Source organism: Homo sapiens, chromosome 8, assembly GCF_000001405.40.
Source record: "Homo sapiens chromosome 8, GRCh38.p14 Primary Assembly".
In the NCBI taxonomy this organism is placed as follows: Eukaryota; Metazoa; Chordata; class Mammalia; order Primates; family Hominidae; genus Homo; species Homo sapiens.
Genome location: NC_000008.11, coordinates 105581630 through 105601996, shown reverse-complemented (window position 1 = coordinate 105601996; position 20367 = coordinate 105581630). Strand labels below are relative to the sequence as shown.

At 36.0% G+C, this 20367-nt stretch overlaps 1 protein-coding gene across 10 annotated transcripts in view, besides 1 other annotated feature; it reads right to left on the bottom strand.

Moving 5' to 3' along the window:
- ZFPM2 (zinc finger protein, FOG family member 2) overlaps window positions 1–20367 on the bottom strand; it is a 486102-nt gene that overhangs the window by 202543 nt on the left and 263192 nt on the right. The gene's annotated exons all lie outside the window — the stretch shown is intronic.
- Window positions 6817–11360: an enhancer, noted in NCBI's record as "VISTA enhancer hs1800". NCBI's record gives its function as "enhancer in: midbrain (mesencephalon)[9/10] | dorsal root ganglion[6/10] | trigeminal V (ganglion, cranial)[8/10] | cranial nerve[8/10]" and the evidence as "EXISTENCE:transgenic organism evidence [ECO:0001131][PMID:17130149]".

The window sequence follows — 20367 nt, the reverse complement described above, 5'->3', positions numbered from 1 at the left end:
AATCAGAGGCCATAACAAATGTTGAAGGCGTCCTGAGGGTTTCTGAATCTTCAGTACTAATAAATCTTGAGGCCCAGTGAATTCCTGCCCTTGGTATCCATAAAATACTCTGCAATTCTAATAAATAAATTTATCCTTTTCTTTAAGCTGATTCAACTGTGTTTCCACAGCTTGCAGCAAAGAGTTCTTAATACATTCTCATTTACTTCAACTAATGCCCGTGCCCCCATGAAATAGAGTGGCCCAGGTCTCTAATGCAGGCACCATCATCAACTGTGTGACTTTCTGCAAATCCTCAGAATTCTCTGTGTCATTTGGTCCTATTAGTCCCAACATCTTATTTCCTATATAGAAGAAAAATAGGGGGAACAAAAGACAGAGAGGGGTATAAGGTTACATCCAAACCTGGGTTATACTGTTATCTCTACTTTTAGAAGAATTTGGCTATAATTTAGAATTGAAGAGTAAGGAAGGGCAGGGGTATAAGAGCACAGAAAAGAGCAGAATAAGAACAGAGCAGAGGGAGTAAAATAAACTAAGCAATTTTGTCACCATTTTAGCTAAGTTTGACCATGAATAGACATGTCCAAATCCAGTTAATTAGGGAACAAGACCAGGGAACAGGTGATGAATTCTCTGGAGTCCCCTTACAGACTTTCCCAGGCAATAATGGCACTAGTCACTGCCATCTGCAGGCCCTACCATGTGCCAGCTACTGGGCTTGGTGTTTTCATATGTTACCTTGTTAATTCCTTGGCTTAGACATCTTTTGGTTATGCTTAGAGGAATAAAAAAGACTGCTGGCTATTATCCTAAGCCTTGCAGTATGGTGCAGGGCTTCAGGTGGTGATGGAGAAAAACGATTCTTTGTCAGCTGCCAAGTATAAGTTCAGGAGCATAACCCAGGGTGAGAGGGAGGAGCAGGATGGCTCAGCCATGGAACCCAGGGCAGTCTGTCACTGAACTCTGTTAGACTGTTAGGAGAAGATTAAAGCTGAACACTAAATGATGATCTAGCACTTAGTGCACAACAAAATATAAGACTATATCTACATGTATTCTCATTTTAAAAATATTCATAGTGAATATGTAAAGGCATTATTCTCTCAGAAAATATGAAGGAAAACACTGCAATAGTCATGCTAAAGTCTTAAGAATCAAGTCACTAATAAGCATTCCTGAGTCTATCCTTGAGTTCTTACTTGCAAACAAGTTTCTCTGCTTGAATTAAGATTATTGCTATAAACACTTTAGAGATATAGAATAAGTAAACAATAATATAATCATCATATGATTATCCAAAACAATCATAAATAAGGCAAAAAGGGTTTAAACAATTTTAAAAAAATAAAAAATGAGCAGCTATTCCCTAATGCTTTTTAACTTGCATTAACTATAGCATTTATTAAATTTTAAGAGAAAGAATGAAATAAAAATAAGTTAGCAAATTCATGAAACAAAAACCTTAAAAATACAACAGAAGGGAAACTTTTGATTAATATTTGTCAGATACAAAGACAATAATTAATTGAAAAAAAGAAATCCCTCTTTTCTTAGTAGGACTTCAATGTTTCAATGATGTATTTTTTTATACATATGCAGTTTTCCTTACTCAAAAATAATCTTTCTCTTGGTTTATAAACTTGACAGAAGCAAAAAAGAAATCTTACAAACATTTCAGAGTATATTTTATTCCCAAATCCATCATTAATAGTCAAAATATAGTCTCAAAATACTGATCTCATTATTGTAAATAGGGAGCTTTCGGGTGTATTTTTTCCCAAGTACAACTTTGTGTTTTAGGAACATCTGTCTTCACACTGTAGACTAAAATCAACAGGAATACTATCTTAAATACTTGAGCAAAACTCAGTAAAAGATACAGTAGGCAAACATTGTGGTCGGCTCAGCAGTGATTACCAACTCATGCTCCAAATTCACTATAAAATGAAAATCAATATTTCCACAAGTTCCTGCAACATAAAAGATAACCTTCATTGATTTTTCTAGACTTAGGCCTCTCTGATAAAATCTAATATAAATTTTCAACCATGAGGATTTGGATCAGAGCAGGGGTGATAAGTCCTGCACATCTCTTAAGAGGTGGAGAATTTTTTTTTTAAAGTGCACATTCATACTATTTATAATTTGCCCTGTGCAAGTGAAAGCCTTTTCCACCAGTGCTATCAGGAATCTCTTCTAATTTTTATTACTGTGAGGCTAAAGCCTGTTCCAGATAATTTGGAAATTTCAGGGGAGTTGTGATAGGGCTGATGGTGCAGCCCTGGCTGACTTGAGAAAGGAGCTAACCGGTAATAGCCTCCATGGCTGTGCTGATTAAATGTTGCCATAGATGAAAGGCCTGCCATTGCCGCAATAAATTAACCAATCACACAAATCCCAAGTCAGTGCTAATCCTTCCTTGATACTCTGATCCTCTGATCAGCTCAAGGAGGTAAAGAAACTGGCTTGTGACGCTTGGTGCTCTAACCCCTGGATTTCATGTACACAACGAGCTAATGATATCTTGCTGACCAGTTCAATGGGATGAACTTCTCTCACAACCCTTAGGGAACACCACAGCCTTCATTTTTTTTTTTTTTTTAAAGACGAAAAGAAAAAGAAAAAAGAAAAACTGACAAGCAGATGGGAGGTTTTGTGTTATACTAGGAAACTGCAGGCAAACTATCCAGCACTTGTTAACTAAAATAATCATAAAGACAGGGCCACAGTATGACATGCTTTATATCGTTTAGGTGTGGATGATGAATCACAAAAGGACACGGATCAAACAGAAGTGGGAATACTAAAGAAAGACACCCAGGGAGAGTGGCATTTCAAGAGAGCAAGGTGGCCTTTTAATTTTTTTCTTAGGTTCAGTTCTGAAGCAGCTCCCCCAATGAGTAATTTAAATTTTTTGCGGGTCCACAGTTTGGATTTCTGGAAATTCTGTTATACACGCTGTGTTCCATAGCCATGCTAGCTAGTGTGATTAGAATCTGATTTAGGAATAGACTCATTTAATCAATTAGCAGAAGGTCTGACCACATGCAGTGTCTTGCTGTTAATTATGTGAGGGGTGCCTCCGCAACAGAGTTCGTGAAATTGAGTCTGTGCAGAATGCATTAGTGGACTTCATAATTGGGGAAAGTTTTTTTTGTATGTAGTAATTGGTTGCTAGAAGTAAGAAGGCTCTAGGGTTTTCCTCCAGGGTTTCACACATAAAGAGTTTTTGAAAGGACTTCATTATCTTTCTTGGTCAGTCCCAATAAATTAAAACTGATTTTTTTATGAGGGAAATGTAGGAACAAGGAGGCAAATGTAGAAAGTCAGCATTTTGGAAATAAAACTAGTTTATTTAACGTGAGAAAGCGTGAAGTGAGGTAGCAGAGTTTTGTGAACATCTATGGCATTATTCCACTTTTTAAAGAGAGAGAAAAAGAAGAACTGATCATTTTTCCAGAAGTTAATTTTAAAACTCTTCTACCTGGTTGGTAAAATTTAATCACATTGAAACAATTTGATGAAGCAAAGCTAAGAGATGGTGATTATCATTTGGCAAGCATATATTCTAAGTTTAAAATGCATTCATGGTGATAGAGAAAAAAGCCCTTTATCAAAATAAAAGTAATCAGTCCTATCAGTTCTCTCTCTCATAAAACTTCCCTGGATTCAACCCTCTTATCCTTCACCTTCTTCTTTATTTACATGATGAACACACATGTGTAGGACAGCTTTCTCAAGTGACCTTCCCAAAGGCGGTCCTTCCCACTGCTGGACTCCGCGCAAGCAAGCCCTGTTGCAAGGAGCAGGTCTCATGGGAATTAATTAGTCAGAACACCAGAAGAACACAGCTCACTCCCTGCAAGGCATTCTGGGCCAATGCTGCAGAATAACACAGCTATTTCTGACCAAAAAAAAAAAAAAAAAGGTTTTTTTTTTTCCAAGAACAACAGATGTTATAACAGTCTAGAGAGGTACTAAAGTAAGTTTTATGCAGCAGAACAACAGGATTGGAAAGAACTGAAATAACAATCCCCAGCAGAATTTAATCCTTTTGAGTTCTCATCTGATGTCTCACACCTGCAATATCTATTCAAATTTCATATTTATCCTAATTAATAGTCCTATATAATGTAGTTATAGTGCAGCGGTACTATTAGGAATTTGATTCACTATCATTCCCAAATGAAAGACATTATTCATGGGAAAAATTAAATAGGAGACCATTTAAAACATGCTGCACCATATACTTTCTTAGTAACTTAGGAGAAGGGAGACTCAAATATATTGTTATGCTATCCTTTTTATTACTAAATTAAGATGGGTTGATAGCAGCCTATCATTATTATAATATTTATCTGCATTAAATATGATGAAAAACAATGCAAAGAAAAAGTTGAAAATGGCTTCAACATAAAAAGAGAAAACAAAATTGTTCTCTATACTCTTTAATGACTACTTTTATTTAACAAGAAACTACTGTGCTTTTATCTAGTGTTAATGAAAGGTACATGGCATGTTCATGAGAAAATCACACAGGGGAGAGGTTTAGGTCTGCTCTCTTTTTCTCATTAACATGCACACACGCAACTTCATAAATGTCAAATATTTGAAACATATTATCTCCATATACTTAGTTTTAAATAAGTAGAAATAGTCCAGCATTGGACATTACTTTCACCCAAATTTTGTGTAACTCCAGAATGATTAGAAATACACATAGAAAATGAAATAGCATTTTAAAAACTGACCATGTCGACTCCTGCCAATTCAAAGATTTATTACTGATATTCTGTGATTTTAAACAGAACCCAGGCATAACAGGGCCCTAACATTCATTTGCAACCCAAAATTCAACATCTATTAATAATGCATTTTTTTTTCACAGATACCAAGGTACAGCTTTCAAATATACTGGTTAACAGTAAGAATGCAGCTGTTACATTTAGGAGGTGTGTCAGGAAATTGAAACACAAATGTATAAGCCTGAAAAATAAAAATATTCCAATGTAGAATTTCAATTCTACTTTACAAAAAACAACAGCATTAACTAAATTTATAGAGTAGAGAAACAAGACGAAAGGAAGGAGTATGTCTGTTTCTTTCCTGGGTGCCACATACTGAAAATCACCACAGATACTACCTTGCTTAATTGAAGTTTTAGAGATAGAGTTCCAGGCCATCTTTCCCTATCTGCTCTATCTGCTCAGGAATCTCATAATCACTCATTAAAAAAAAAAAAAAAAAAAAAAAAGCAGACAAAGGCAGCCTTACCCAGAGACCTCCTTCTCTATCATGAGTTGCTTTATACGATGACTAGAAATTGGTTAAATTCTTATAGGAACAAAATATTTAACTATTATGATCTCTGTTCTCACCACTGATACACAAAAGAAGCTTTAGATCCCAAATTTGACTAAGAAACTTGGAAGAGTATTAGGATTGGTGCTAAACTTGCAAAGGTTTTCACAGGAAAAGTAGAATACCTTCTTTCCCTAGGTATGGCATACCAGAACAACCAGGGAGAGTGCCAATCTATTTGCAACCAGGGTAAAAACTAGGATGGTGGTGGAGAAATATGTAACTTTCATTATAAATGTGCTTCTCCTCTCTTTCTTTGTTTCCTTCTTTTTTCTTTCTTTCTGAAAATGCAGGGATGAAAGAAAAAGAAAATGAAAGAAAACTCTTTTACTCTTCCTCTGATTGTTTACTCTTTTGTTTTCTCCCTTTTCTTGCTGACTTCCTCTTCATTGATTTTTATTCCTTTTAACCTGACTGGACCAGACATGAAGAGATCAGAGAGCCAAACATATTTTCATTCACACAACTTACAACCTGCTCTTCCATTTTGATATGGATACTACCATTTGCCATAAATCTTAACAGGGTGCACAGAAGTAGTGTCTACTAAATAACAAAACACTTTATTTTGGTAACTTTATTAACATAACTGGTTACTTCTTTTTTTGTTGTTGGTTTTTTTTTTTTTTCAGATAAAAGGAGAATTTCAGATAATTTTGCTATACTCTCAGTTTATATGGTTTTGAAATACACATAGATTTTAGATGATATTGGAAGTCAATTATAAGATGTTAGCAGTATATTATTCTATTTTGAAATTTAATCATGAGGAATAGATAGATTAAAAAGCTCTAAGAAGTTATGTGCCTATTCATATGGCTAAAACCAATAAAAGAGATTATTTTAGCCATGAAGGAGATAAAAAATGTTGGCAAAAAAATTCACGATATTTAATGTTCTCTATTCTAGTACCATTGAATAAAGAATAAAATCCAGATTTCTTGGGAAAGCATGGAAAGTTTCCTGTTACCTTCTTTAATCCTTACTACTAGCCGTGTTTCACCCGATATTGTGTGTTTCCTCCAAACACTTCTTTGTTTCATGCTTTCATGACTTTGTATATATTATTACTTCTGCCTGGAATTGGCAGTCCCAATTTATTTTCTGAGTTAATTCATCCTTCAAAACTCTTCTTAAAATCACCTTCTGGAAGCCTTCTGTGGGCATCTGAGACAGTAAAATGTTTAATCTTCACACTTACCCCTGTTGGATAATTGCTGTTTATGGATGGCCAGCATCTGGTCCAGCTCTTTTGGATAATAGCTCTTTCTATGTTTTTTTGGGTGTAATTCCTCCACTGAACACACACACTGGCTTATTAAAATAGGGGCCCTTTTCTCTCTTGTCTAGAGACACAGATGTGACCAAAGATAGACTAATAAGGCACACCCTCCCTGGACCTAGGTCCTGAACCAATAAATAAAAAGACCAAAATGTGTTGAAGCTTATTCTTGCCAATGCAAGTGCCTGCTAAGACTGTACAATGGTTTCTACTATTAGACTTTCTTTACTCTCAAATTGCTTTGATTTTTGTCCTTTTCTAAACCTGGTTCTCTAACATCCCACAGAGTCTGTAAACTCCCCCATATTCTTTCCATAATTCTGTTTTTGCCTAAGTTAGCTAGAAGTTGTTTCTACTGCTTATTTATAAAAAGAAACAACTTTTATAGAATCCTCCATCAGAAATCATCTTATGATACTATAGTTATATGTTTATGTATCTGATTCTCTCATTGGACTGAGCTCCTTGAGGGCAGAGACTAAATATAGTTGGTATAACCTGAGACCTTTGCATAGTGCCTGGCTCATGGCAAGAATTAAGAAGTGTTTGCTGAATCCATGAGTGAGTCATGATTAACATGAGTGCTGAAAAGGGCCATTATTAAAATGGAACTGTAGGGAGGTAGTATAAAATTAAAGCAGAAAGAGTTTTGAAGTCATATCTGAGTTCAAATCCATAATTTGTACATTAATTAGCTTTGCGCTTTTTGAGGAGTGTCTGAAACCTCAGTTTTCTCATGTGTTAAATGGAAGAACTATATCAGCTTCAGAGAGTTATGGAAATATGAAGCAACAAAACACTAAGCTCAGTCCCTTGAACCAAAATATTTACTATTAATATTTAGGCTTTTAATAAAACCACTTACTATACATAAAATCTATGACTCTTTACAATGTAGAGCTGAGTTAAAGTAGTAAATACTTAATGTATCCTTAAAATTTAAAAAATCATTTCAACAGTGCTACCATATTAAAAGTAAAAGGTCCATTCTGTGTTTTAAAAGGCATAATCAAATTAAAATTTACTGCCAGACCCTCTTGGCATAAGGAATCTTCTAGAAATTAATGTTTGAGCTACTGGGACAACACGGTTCTCAAACACAAGAGACAACAACCACATGAAGAGTTACTGTCTTGAAATTAGGCAAGTTAGCTGGAAGTCAAGAGGAGAGGAGACAGGCTGATTTAAAAGGAATAACTCAGGCATTTAGGTTTAAAGATGTCTTTAAAGATCTTACTGCATTCTTTGTCAACGAACAAGGTAATCAAAATTTAAAGTTTTTACTACAATAACCCTGGAACCCCTGGAGAATACTCAGTGAAATATGAGAGCGGTTTTAATACCTAGAAGCCCTGCTGCATTATGGTAAGGTCAGCAGAGGAGCACTGTTAAGACTCCAGGCCATAATGACTCCATATGGAGCCAGAGAGCAGCTAAAGTAATAAACTCTCCCACGATGATTTCTTTGCTCTTTGCAGTACTAATGTAGACTGACAGCCGCTCATCTTTCTTTCAGGGATTTTTTTTTACTTGAAAAATCACAATTTTTTTTGCAACTGTGATTAAAATCTACAAACTCAAGAAAAGCACTAACACAACCAACAAAGTTGTGTGTGTGTTCAATATTTTAATGTAACTGATAGAAAGTCTTCGGCCCTTGACTTATGCACAAAGATAATTTCCTTTTTTTTTTTTTTTCTTGGAATGGAATACTCACTGAAGAGAAACTGGCATTAGCTTACATGGTAATAAGATGACTCCAAATGAGGCATCTGAGGACAGAAACATTAGAAATTGGGGACAGCTGCGGACAGCAGATTTGGGACACTGGTATCATGTATGTAACAAATCTTTATTAATAAGTACATTAAATCCCATATTTTTCATTTATAACTGCTGCATAATTTCCTGTTAACACTTCATGTAAATTCCAGATAAGGTAATAATTTTTTTTTCAGAATTCTATTTCTGTTTCATTATATGTTCTATACTCTGCCCCACAGGTCAGTTGCATGATTGAAGTATTATGCCTCATTAAAATTCCAGTAGTTAAAACATGAAGACAGAATTTTGGTAATTCTTTTCTCCATTACTAGAATTAACCATTCCAATACATTCCTGGGCTCCCTGAACCTCATAATTTATGTGTACATATACACTCATGTCGATACCATTAACAAGTTCTTAGACATACACACATATAAGAAGCATATGTAACACAGATACATGCTGGTCAAGGGGTCTCGATATCCTAAACAGAAAGCTCTTATCTTTCTTTTGCTCCAGTGGCTGAAAATCCTTGCCCCACCTCCTCCCAGTTCAGTATTTCTAGCTAGCAGCTGCTATCAGAAACCTAAATAACAAAAATATGCAAACTTGCACACTAATTCCCTTTGGAGATAGATCTTGGCTGCAGCCCTGTCATAAATCAGAGAATTTCGATATGAAATGAGGCAAGCAGCTCTAATCATTTCTGCATTTCAAATTGGATCACTGGCTCAATCACTGGGCTTTTTTAAACTGCTTGCCTAAGAGCAAATGTGAGGCGGGAGATAATTCTGAAGACATCTCTCCTTTTGTGGCCTTAGAACTCTTTTAACTGTTTCAAGACTGAAGGCCACATTTCAGTGATAATAGCACAAATCTGGTGGGAGAGATATGGATCCTTCAAGACATCTTCCTCCTCTTTCAACTCACAGAATTCCATCAATATCTGCATATATTATATATATTAATATATGTGTGTGCATATGGGTTTTGTGTGTCTAAAAAAGAAAATGAGAAAAAAATAAGAGAAACATCTGACATATATCCACAGTCTATTTATCCTTAGAATTTCCTGTTTTTGACACAAGACAGGTTTCAATTGCACTGGGAGATAGTTAACATTTTTATACTGGAAAAATGTATTTCAAATCAAATGTAACTGCACCAAAATGTGAAAGACTTTGGGGTTTCAAGGATGGCCTGCCAATTTGGCCACCCTTCAATGGCCAAATGAGAAATAAGAAAGTCCTTTAACCCTTCCAGATGATTTTTCAATTCTTAATATGATTGCATTTTTATATTTTTACATTTCAGACAACCCTTTGAAAACAATGCATCAGGGGGGAAAAAAGAAGGAAAAAAAAGATTCCCAGGCAATTACCGAGAGTAAAGCAGCCTCCTGACCTTTTGATAGTTTTGCTTTGAGTCTCCCTCCTTTCTTATCCAAATGACAGTAAAGTCTTGCTGCATGTTTCCTGTGCTCACTACAGTGCTTTGAAATGGAATTTAACCATTTTTCAGAGGGTTTTCATAATGCCTTGTAAGCCTAATAGTGATCTGATGAAATATTAACCCTAAGCTGCTTGTGTTTTGAGAACAGAATGAAAATGTTTACCAAATTTTTCTTTTACACAATTAACAAACAAAACAACTCTGCTTTATCTGGTGTTAATTTTTCTTTCTATTTTCACCTTTTCCTCACTGGTATTATATTTTACTTCTGTGGACTCAGGATACCAAATTTGCCATCTCCTTGTTATTAATTTTGTGGATTGGGAGAGTATCAATATTGTGCTGATACAGGTGTTGGAGGACTTTAATAACTGCTTGTGTTATTTTAGCAAGCTAACAAATGATGATATTACTGGGTATTTTATATACAGCTTTATAAATTGCATTTCTACTCAGCAATATGAATATGACTATATTTTTGCTGCATACTTTTCATCAAGATAACCCAATTTCTGAAGCTTATCAAGTATTATTAAAAAAACAAGTCTTTAAATAAAATTTTTCTAATGTGATATTTTAGCATCGATTTGATTTTTCTGGTGTACAAGTTTAAAACTGTATTAAAGACTCAAAGGCATTAACATTTTTCCAATGTCTTGATTAAAAGCTGTATTTACAGTACTGTCTATATAAGTTCCACTGTTATAAGAATGAAGAAGTGTTTTATATTTATGAACAATTAGACCCTATATCCAATGAACAAACTGTGACAGAAAACTATCATAAATGAAAAATCTTAGGTAATCCAATTTATAAAGCAATATTATTTATTAACATTTAGATGCCACTTGGTTTTTTGTTGTTGTTGTTGCTTTTTTTTTTCAAATAATTCTAAGAAGTTCTGAAAATTTAATCTCATGATTATATAAAGTTTATTGTTCATAACCCAGTTTGTGGTCTCCATGGGAGAAAAAGTCAAAATCAGCAAACTGATTCATAGTCTATATTTACTTTTTTTCTTTATCTGTGAATATTAAGCTAAGGCTCCGAGCTTTAGTGTGGAGTTAAGTCTGAAAACTGAAGCTATTTTAAGAGAACAAGGGTAGTTGTTACCCCACTAACTTATCTGCCCACAACTGATAAATACTTATAATAACCTTACATTAGCCCTTTAATCCCTCCTATTTTTATTTTCCTGGATAGGTCCCAAACTACTAATACTATGGCAGAACTATACCCTTTCAAGTCTGATATATGGGTTTTGCTTATTCCTAAAGTGGACCATGTGTCTTGTGTAAAGTGATTGAGTGGGTGCTGGTAAAGTCAGCTACACTTCCACTGACTCTGTGTGTGTGTGTGTGTGTGTGTGCGTGCGCACGTATGCACATGCACTTGCACACTCATGCATGTGTGTCTATACGTATACACATACTTTTTTCTTGTTACATGAAATTCTTCAGTGTAATATTCCAACCTATCACATCAGCCCTCCACATCCATAATAGGGCACTCTTAAAGTTTTGGACAAAACATTTCTCTTCTTCGAATTAAATAACTAACTCAAAAACACCTTTATCTATGCCTATGGCCCCCAAAACCATTAATCATGGCCTGAAGTAAACCAAAGCAGCATCATAAGAATGAAATAAACACAGCATTTTTAATATGTGTGTGGCTTAACACAGAAGCATTGAAAAATGGGTAATAAAGTTGTAATATGACCACAGGCTGTACACTATATGACACTGAAGTATTTTGGCCCTGAATATTGTGGTTATTATCCTCCACAGGTCTCTTATCTGCAACAGAAGTAACGACAATAGTTTTATATGGTTGTAACACATTAGAGGGCGTTTCTTAGTCTCAGCATCTCACAGTGACATTACTGGAAGCTGAATTAAAATGTGGCACTTTAGAAATAAAAATAGCCCCTTTACTAATACTGCAAGGGATAAAGCACACAAGCAAAATTACCTGTTGGAGTTTCAGCCTAGAAAACCCAGGCAGAATAATAAAGGTGAAGGAGAGAGCCATTCAGAGGCTAATTCAAAAAGAAAGGGGAAGATAGCATATGCAGCTGTAAACAAAATGGATCAGAAAATGAATTAAAGAAGCCGGGAGCAGTGGCTCACACCTGTAATCCCAGCACTCTGGGGGCTGAGGCAGGCAGATCACGAGGTCAGGAGTTCAAGACCAGCCTGGCCAACATGGCAAAACCCTGTCTCTACTAAAAAATACAAAAATTAGCCAGACTTGGTGGCACGTGCCTGTAATCCCAGCTACTTGGGAGACTGAGGCAGGAGAATCGCTTGAACCCGGGGGGAGTTGGAACTTGCAGTGAGCTGAGATTGAGCCACTGCACTCCAGCCTGGGCAACAGAGCAAGACTCCGTTTCAAAAAAAGAACATGAGTTAAAGAGAAAGTGCCAAAAATGAAGAGAATATGACTGGCACAGTGGAAAGTGTAGGAGAAAAAAGAAGAAAGCAAGTAATGTGTTTTGTGGGGGAAACCTCAAAACTAGGCTAGTAATAGAGATGGTCAAATGTAATTAATTCAAATAACAAAAAAGTACTCTTTTATGTTAACGTAAATAATGCCACAAACATCTCTTGAACATTCCGTTTGTACTAAATTCAATTTCTATATTATGAATCCTTAATTTCTCTTAAGTTCGTTTTTTGAGCTTTGTTGGCAAAGTAGCTTTAATTACAAAAAGTCACTTTTGCCAAATATATATAAAGTATAGCCATATGGCTGGTAGGATTTGTCAAGGTAGCTTCCTTGTTGACGCTTGAGAAATGTATTGTTATGTGCATTTAACAAAGTCTGGATGATCTATGATAAAATTGGGGATTGTCATTTTTAATACACTATTTCTGACAGTCATCCAAACCATGATGAAATGACAGTCTGTCATAACTTTAATGGCACAAAAAATTCTGACACCGATATTGCCTGTAAATTATCAAGTGGAACTGAATAATAGCAGGATTAGAGGGGGCTCCATGGAGTTTGGTTTCTAAGAACTACTAGGGTTTCTCTCACCCTTCATTGAGCTTTCACCTTTTCAGTTGACTCTCCAGGCTAACCGCTTTGTAACATGTTTTGAGTTACTAAAGGTTTTAAAACATAACGGGATTAAGGATTCTTAAATCTCATTCAACTGTGTACACTATAGATCACGCATTTCCTCTGACTTCGGTTTGTGACCATCTTCTCAACAGCTCAATGAGGAGAGAGTACCAAGCCTACTCATCATCAGCTGTCACCTAAACTTGCCCCCTAACTGGCCTGACATACATCCTTACTCTAAGAATTTAGTAAAAGACTATCTTAAATGGCATCCTGCCTGTGAGGAGGCAGTGTGGTTAATCTTTGACAAAAGAGCATTCACATGTCAACAAAACAAATACCTAATGGAAGGCCCTACTGCAAAAGAATAAAGTAGGCCATTCAAGCTGCCAATAAAAAAGAAATTTAGAGAAGATTGAAAGTTTGATTCCAGCATCATCATTTCCACTGAGATTGAAGTCCTACCCCACAGAGCAGTGGCTCCTCTAACAGACCTAAACTGAGGCTGCACAAGGACCCAAAGGGTCAATGGGAAGAATCTTATGTAACGAAGTGTTTTCAAACTGGAGGGAGAAGAGAAATAAAAATGCTTTTTTATTTTGATACTAGTTTTTATATAAAATGTGGTTTCGATTTTTTTTTTGGAAAAAAAATATTAAAAGAAGAAAAATATTCTCTGTGTCATCCAAGCATTCCATTTGCTCTACATTTCCCATAGAAATTCTTTCTTTTCCATAAACCGTGAGTATTTTGGGGGTAATTGTGGATTTCACCGCATCAGAGACTGAGTTGCCTATCTCAAGAGAATCCATGTCTCTGCCCGATATATGTAGCCAGACTATTCCTTAGATCAAATATCACCTAATGCATTTTAATTCAATTCTTATCTTGCTTATATATTTTGCAAGATAGGTTTATTTTTCAAATTCAAACAATATTTTATTATAAATGCATCCATTGTCACCAAATATGACAGCCTAATTAGCCAGGAAAAAAAATTTTTAAAGGCTAAATATAGCTTAAAAAACAAGTGTAGTACATAGACTTTAACTTTCCCTGTGGTGGGCTCGTGTTTTCATAATCCATACTACTGGTCTTTTAAATTATTCTATTTTAACGGTTCTCAGCTAGGGGCAATTTTGCTCCCCAAGGGACACCTGGAAATGTCTGGAAACATTTTTGATTGTCAGAACCAGGGGGATGCTACTGGCATCTAGTAGGTAGAGGCCAGAAATGACACTAGACATCCTACAATGCAAAGGACAGCCCCCACACCAAAGAATTATCTGGTCCAAAATGCCAGCAGCACCAAGGTTGAGAAACACTCTTTATTCCATATAACTAACCTATAATTTCTGGTTCCTAATTTATAATACTGTGGAATTCTGCCATTATTATTTGTGCTTTATAGAAATGCAAAAAAAATGTGCTCTTCAGAAACCTGAAAAGAGACCTACCAGCAATTTCTTTTTGGATTATGTTGTGCCTGCTAGTACTTTTACAATGTAAGGAGCATTCAGCATTTGAACTACATATTTTTTCCTTTGGTTTTGGTATTTGGCATACATTCTTATGCAGAAAGCATTTTGACTATACTGATGTTAATTAACATAGTAAAATGTCTACACTTTAAATTAGAAATAAAGGGTAGTTCGTTGCTTATACCAGAAGCAGTCGTTTATTTTAGTGCTATGAGACACATCATCTTCACTTTTATTCCGTATAGGTATCATTCATCTCTAAGACTGTTAAGTCCAAAGCTTTTTTTTTTTTTTTTTTTTCTGAGACAGAGTCTTGCTCTGTCACCCAGGCTGGAGTGCAGTGGCACGATCTCTGCTCACTGCAAGCTCCGCCTCCCGGGTTCATGCCATTCTCCTGCCTCAGCCTCCCGAGTAGCTGGGACTACAGGTGCCCGCCACCACGCCCGGTTAATTTTTTGTATTTTTTAGTAGAGACGGGGTTTCACCGTGTTAGCCAGGATGGTCTCGATCTCCTGACCTTGTGATCCACCAGCCTCGGCCTCCCAAAGTGCTGGGATTACAGGCATGAGCCACCGTGCCTGGCCAAGTCCAAAGCTTTTAATGCTGCATACAATGCTTAAAATAATTTTATCTGTTCTGGATGAGTGTTTAATTAGATGGCAAACTTCATGAAAGCAGAAATATTTTCCCAAATTTTATGTCTGCTCAAAAGAATATATATATATATATAAAATATTTATATATAAATATGCACACATACATATATAGTGGCCTAAAGGATAAACACTTTAGATAATAAGGTCAAAAATTTTCAGGTATGCTTTGATATTGGATCAATCTCAGTAAAAAAGGATCCAACATCAGGCATGGTGGCTCACGCCTGTAATCCCAGCACTTTGGAAGGCCAAGATGGGCAGATCACCAGGTCAGGAGTCCAAGAGCAGCCTGGCCAATATGGTGAAACCCCATCTCTACTAAAAATACAAAAATTAGCTGGGCATGGTGGCACACGCCTGGAGTCCCAGCTACTCAGGAGGCTGAGGCAGATGAATCACTTGAATCTAGGAGGCAGAGGTTGCAGTGAGCCAAGATTGTGCCGCTGCACTCCAGCCTGGGCGACAGAATGAGACTCCATCTCAAAAAAATAATAAATAAAAAATAATAATAAAAAAATTCCAGCACAACTCGGTTGCGTGTACTTCTCTAAAAATATGAAAGCGATAAAAAAGAAAGCTGTAGGAAGACTGGTTATTTCTACTACTAAGCTCTTTTGACAACATGTAGAAGAAGTGCTGTAGGTGAAACAAAACAAAGTAAAACATTACATCGAAAAAATCTGCAGTATACCTTGAAGTAAACTAGGCTGAGGATTTAGTGCCTCATTGAAACACTTTAAAACAAACTAAATAATTATTTCATTCTTACTGGACAACTCAACAATTCTTGAAGTTTACCATGTTCTCTTTTGCCTGTAGGCCTTTGCACATTAATTACATTCCCCATTTCCTGCCTTCTACAACATAGAAGCACGTGTGCATACACACACACACACACACACACACACACACACACACACCCCTTCCCCCCACATACACACTACATCCTGACCCCTCCTAACTCATGCAAATACTCTCAATTTATTCTTACTCATTCTTCAGGCCTCTTCTTAGACATCCCTTCTATTTTTTCATCCTAAAATATATCTTAGGTTCTCTTTATATTTTTATTTTTATTTTCTTTTACAGACAGAGTCTTGCTCTAGATGTCTCCAAGACTGGAGTGCAACGGCATGATCGTAGCTCACTGCAACCTCAAACTCCTGGGGTCAAGCAATCCTCCCACATGTTAGGTACTATATTACTATACTATATTTCCTCTATTTATAACTAATAATATTATTGCTAATTGCCTACTGTATAGTAATTGCACATTTATTTGTCTGTATTTGTCACTAGAATATAATCTCCAGGATAGCAACACCAATGTCTATTTCAAGTACACGGCAACATCTTACATTGTGTCTGGCACTTCTTTAGCTAATGACAAATGTTTGTTAAATAATGAATAAAGAATGAAACAAAACACATAAAATTACTCTCTATGAATCTACTACTCAGAGCACATATACTATTTGAACAGACAGGTATGCATTTCAGACAAATAATAAGTCAAGGTTGAAGTGATTCAGGGATCTAGACCCTCAGAGAGGAAACCAGAAAGTGCTGGGTGCTGATACTTTTGGAGGAGGGGTTAGAAAAAAACTAATAAAACAAAACCACAAACTGAAAAGGTTTACATATACTATTATTCACATTCACCACAGCTGTTTTATGCCTCCTTCTTAGAGAAACCTTATATTCATAGTACCTAGTGTGGAAATCCAAAAAATAAAAGGGAACACTAAGGTCTTTTTAAAAACTGTATTTTCTATATAGGTCTGATGACATGGTGATGAATATTAAATAACTGATAATGTATGAGGATTACAGTGTGAAGCACTGCCTTGTCTGGATTAGGCCCCAATGCTTCCCTGTCCTAAATTATGAGCACTATTATTTATTCCACCATAATTTTCCTTTCCTTCCCAAAAAGGCTCATTTGCTTTAAGTTGAAATTGATAAGAATGAGAAAAAGCACTTCTCTCATTACACAGTATTTACAGACATACACCCCTTATCATAACCAACGTTCTACCTTTAAAGACAGAAACATAGAGTTACAAATAACAGTTCTATTATCTAAAGTGGTGTTTGCATTTAACTGATTGTCCCAACTCCAGTGGTGAGATACAGACCACTGTCAGATACCTCATATTTTTTAAGACATTGTCCAGACTAGTTTCCCTGGTGCTTTATCAGAGGGTTTTATCAGGCCTCCACATGATAAGGGTTGCTACTATTTGCCAAGTTGGAATTTTTGTAAAATTCCTTAATTTTCTGTTGTTAATCCACCAAACACAAACACATAAAGACTTATCTTATTCTACAAGAATAAATGACTTGTTGGACTGTGAAGTACTAGGAGATAGAGGGTTGGGAGCAGTGGGTTGTCTTTAGTTTATTTAACTCCATCAAAACCAGACTACTTTGTGTTTTTGACGCCACGGGAAAAAGAAATTGATACACAGGCCTAAACCCCCTACTCATCCTTTCTTGGCACATTCAAATTCAGAAGTACTAGGAGGAAGTAATATATTTTCTTTAAATATTTTTTTCTTGCTGTTAGAATACATAGGATATACTTTGTTGTGGATATAAAGGCCTAATGTGTAATTTTAGAAACTTTAGAAAAAAAATAAAATAAAAGTTAAAAAAGAATTAGTCATCCTGTGTTTTCAAAGTTAACCTTAAAAACATTTAATTACTACAATTATGTTATTTTTTTGCAGAGTACATTCCTGATAAGTAGTATAATTTAGAATGTCTCAATATTTAGAATTAATAATTTTGCATCTGCACAATTATTTCAGCTGCCAAAAAAAAGACTAAAATATAATTCAGGCCTTTAAAAATGTAATACCAAAAAAAACCAAAGAAAAATACGATAAACCATTTTATTTCATGAGGAATTTTTTTAATAAAGCAGAAAAATAGTGATTAACCTGCCATCTTATCACGAACATTCTAGGCATAGCAAATAACCTTTTCTTACAGGTCTTATGACTACAGTAGTCTGTGAAAAGGATACTCCATGATGTCTTTACTAAAATGAATGGAGAATGAGTGATGAATTGACAGGTTCAGTTCAGAGTACTGACCCCTTAACCTGACTGGAGTGGAATACTTCTCTCATTCCTTCAGGTCCTTTTCTCCTAGCCGGCATTCCAGCCCATATGTTTATTCTTCAACTCTCTGGGAGGCCACCTTTCATCAAAAGAAGTGTGCTAATCTTCCATGGTTTTACTGCCATTGGCACCTCTAGCCCCCTTTGTTTGCTCCCATCTGAGTACTCAGGAAAAAAAGCTTTTTGGATTCTCAATTATACAAAAAGGAAAAAAATTCCCCTTACTGTCTTTGCAGATGAAAGAGCTTAGTCTCAAAACTCAGTTGCACAGATTTAAGTAATTATAAAATGCACAAACCGAAAAAAGATAACCCCAAATTTACTGTTCAGAAATATGCTATAGATTTGTTGCTCTATTTTTTTTCTGTAAGCATTAGAAAGCTTAGAAATTTTTAAAAATTTGTGATTTCTCTTTTTTCACACCCATTATGCAAAAACAATCACCCAGATACTAGGAAAAATATAATACTCAGGGTTATTTCATCAAAATGATATATAAACAATATATAACCAAAAATATATAGAACAAAATATATAATCAAATATGCAAATATCATGAAGTTGGAGAAGGTTTGAGAAGTGAAAAATATAGATATTCCATTCCATATTTCACTCATTTCAAAAAATAATAAATTCCAAACATGGATTATATTACCCAGTAAGGAATAAAGAGACTGGCTTCATAAAGACCAAAGATGTTGCATAACTGATTTCTCACTTTTTTCTACCTGAAGCTTGATTCAGCACAAAGTTGAAGGAAACTATCCAAATTTCTATGGCTTAAAGGTATTTCTTAATAACAAATTAACCAGGTGTTGCTAACAAGAAAAACGAGCAACATAGACAGTCACAGTATTTGCTCTTCCTGGGCAGATAAATTGTCACACTAAAAACTGAAAACAGGAGGGGCACGGTGGCTCACCCCTGTAATCCCAGCACTTTGGGAGGCCGAGGCAGGTGGATCACTTGAGCCCAGGAGTTTGAAACCAATTGGGGCAACATGGGAAAACCCTGTCTCTACAAGAAATACAAAAATTAGCCAAGGATGGTGGCACATGCTTGTGGTCCCAGCTACTCAGGAGGCTGAGGTGGGGGTATTGCTTGAGCCCGAGAGGTGGAGGTGGCAGTGAGTGGAGATTGCGCTGCTGCACTCTGGCCTGGGCACAGAGTGAGACCCTGTCTAAACAAACAAACGAACAAACAAACACTGCTGCCAAACACCTCTATATTTTGTTACATTCTCAGTATATATATCACGGTTTCTCCACATTGGCACTATTAAGCTTTGGGGCCAGATTATTCTTTACTGTAGAGAGCCATCCTGTGCATTGCAGGATTTTAGTAACCACTCTGGCCTCTCTCAACTAGATGCCAGTTGCACTGCTAAGTCCCCTTCCCTCACACTCACTTTGCCAAATGTCTTCAGACAGCCCTCTGTGTCCCTTGGGGCACAAAACTGGCCCTAGTTAAGAGCCACTGAATTAATTATGTTTCTACTAACCATTCTGAAGACAGTCTTTCATTCTTTCAAACTCATTATTCTGACTTCAACCAGTTTAAAAAATATGTGTTCCCTTCAGGGTAGGTCACCTACCTAAAAGCTAATATATCCGGGTGGATTGGTCAGTAAAATTATGGTTTCCCAGAGACCTCATTCTGTGCTTTTGAGCATAAAGTAGTAGAAAGATAAAGTTGTACAATCTCATCCAACAAATGATCTCACTTCAACCCTCACACTAACTTTACTATTAAACAGAAACAGGCACATTTTCAAATATTGATTCCAACTAATGTCTGATCCTAACAGGCATGATCTTATCAAGGCCCCACTATAATAGAAGGAGTGTCAGAGTTAAACAGAATAGGTTGGGATAAGATCACAATCTTCCCCACAACGATGTGATGGTATCACAGAATGGGGATAGTATTCTGAGTAATTATCATTAATAGAGCCAGGCACAAGAAAGAGCAGGGCTGATGGGGGTCTAAATAAATTTGAGTGAGATAAAACAAGGTGGTGAGAATCATAGTTTATGGCATTAGGTATGGTTGAAGTTATTTTTTAAAGTTTTAAATTGTAGATTTTAAGTGAAGAGGGAGGTGTAGAATGATTTTAGCACAATGAACTTGGAAGGGGAAAATTGCCGTTTTATTATTAATATGGGT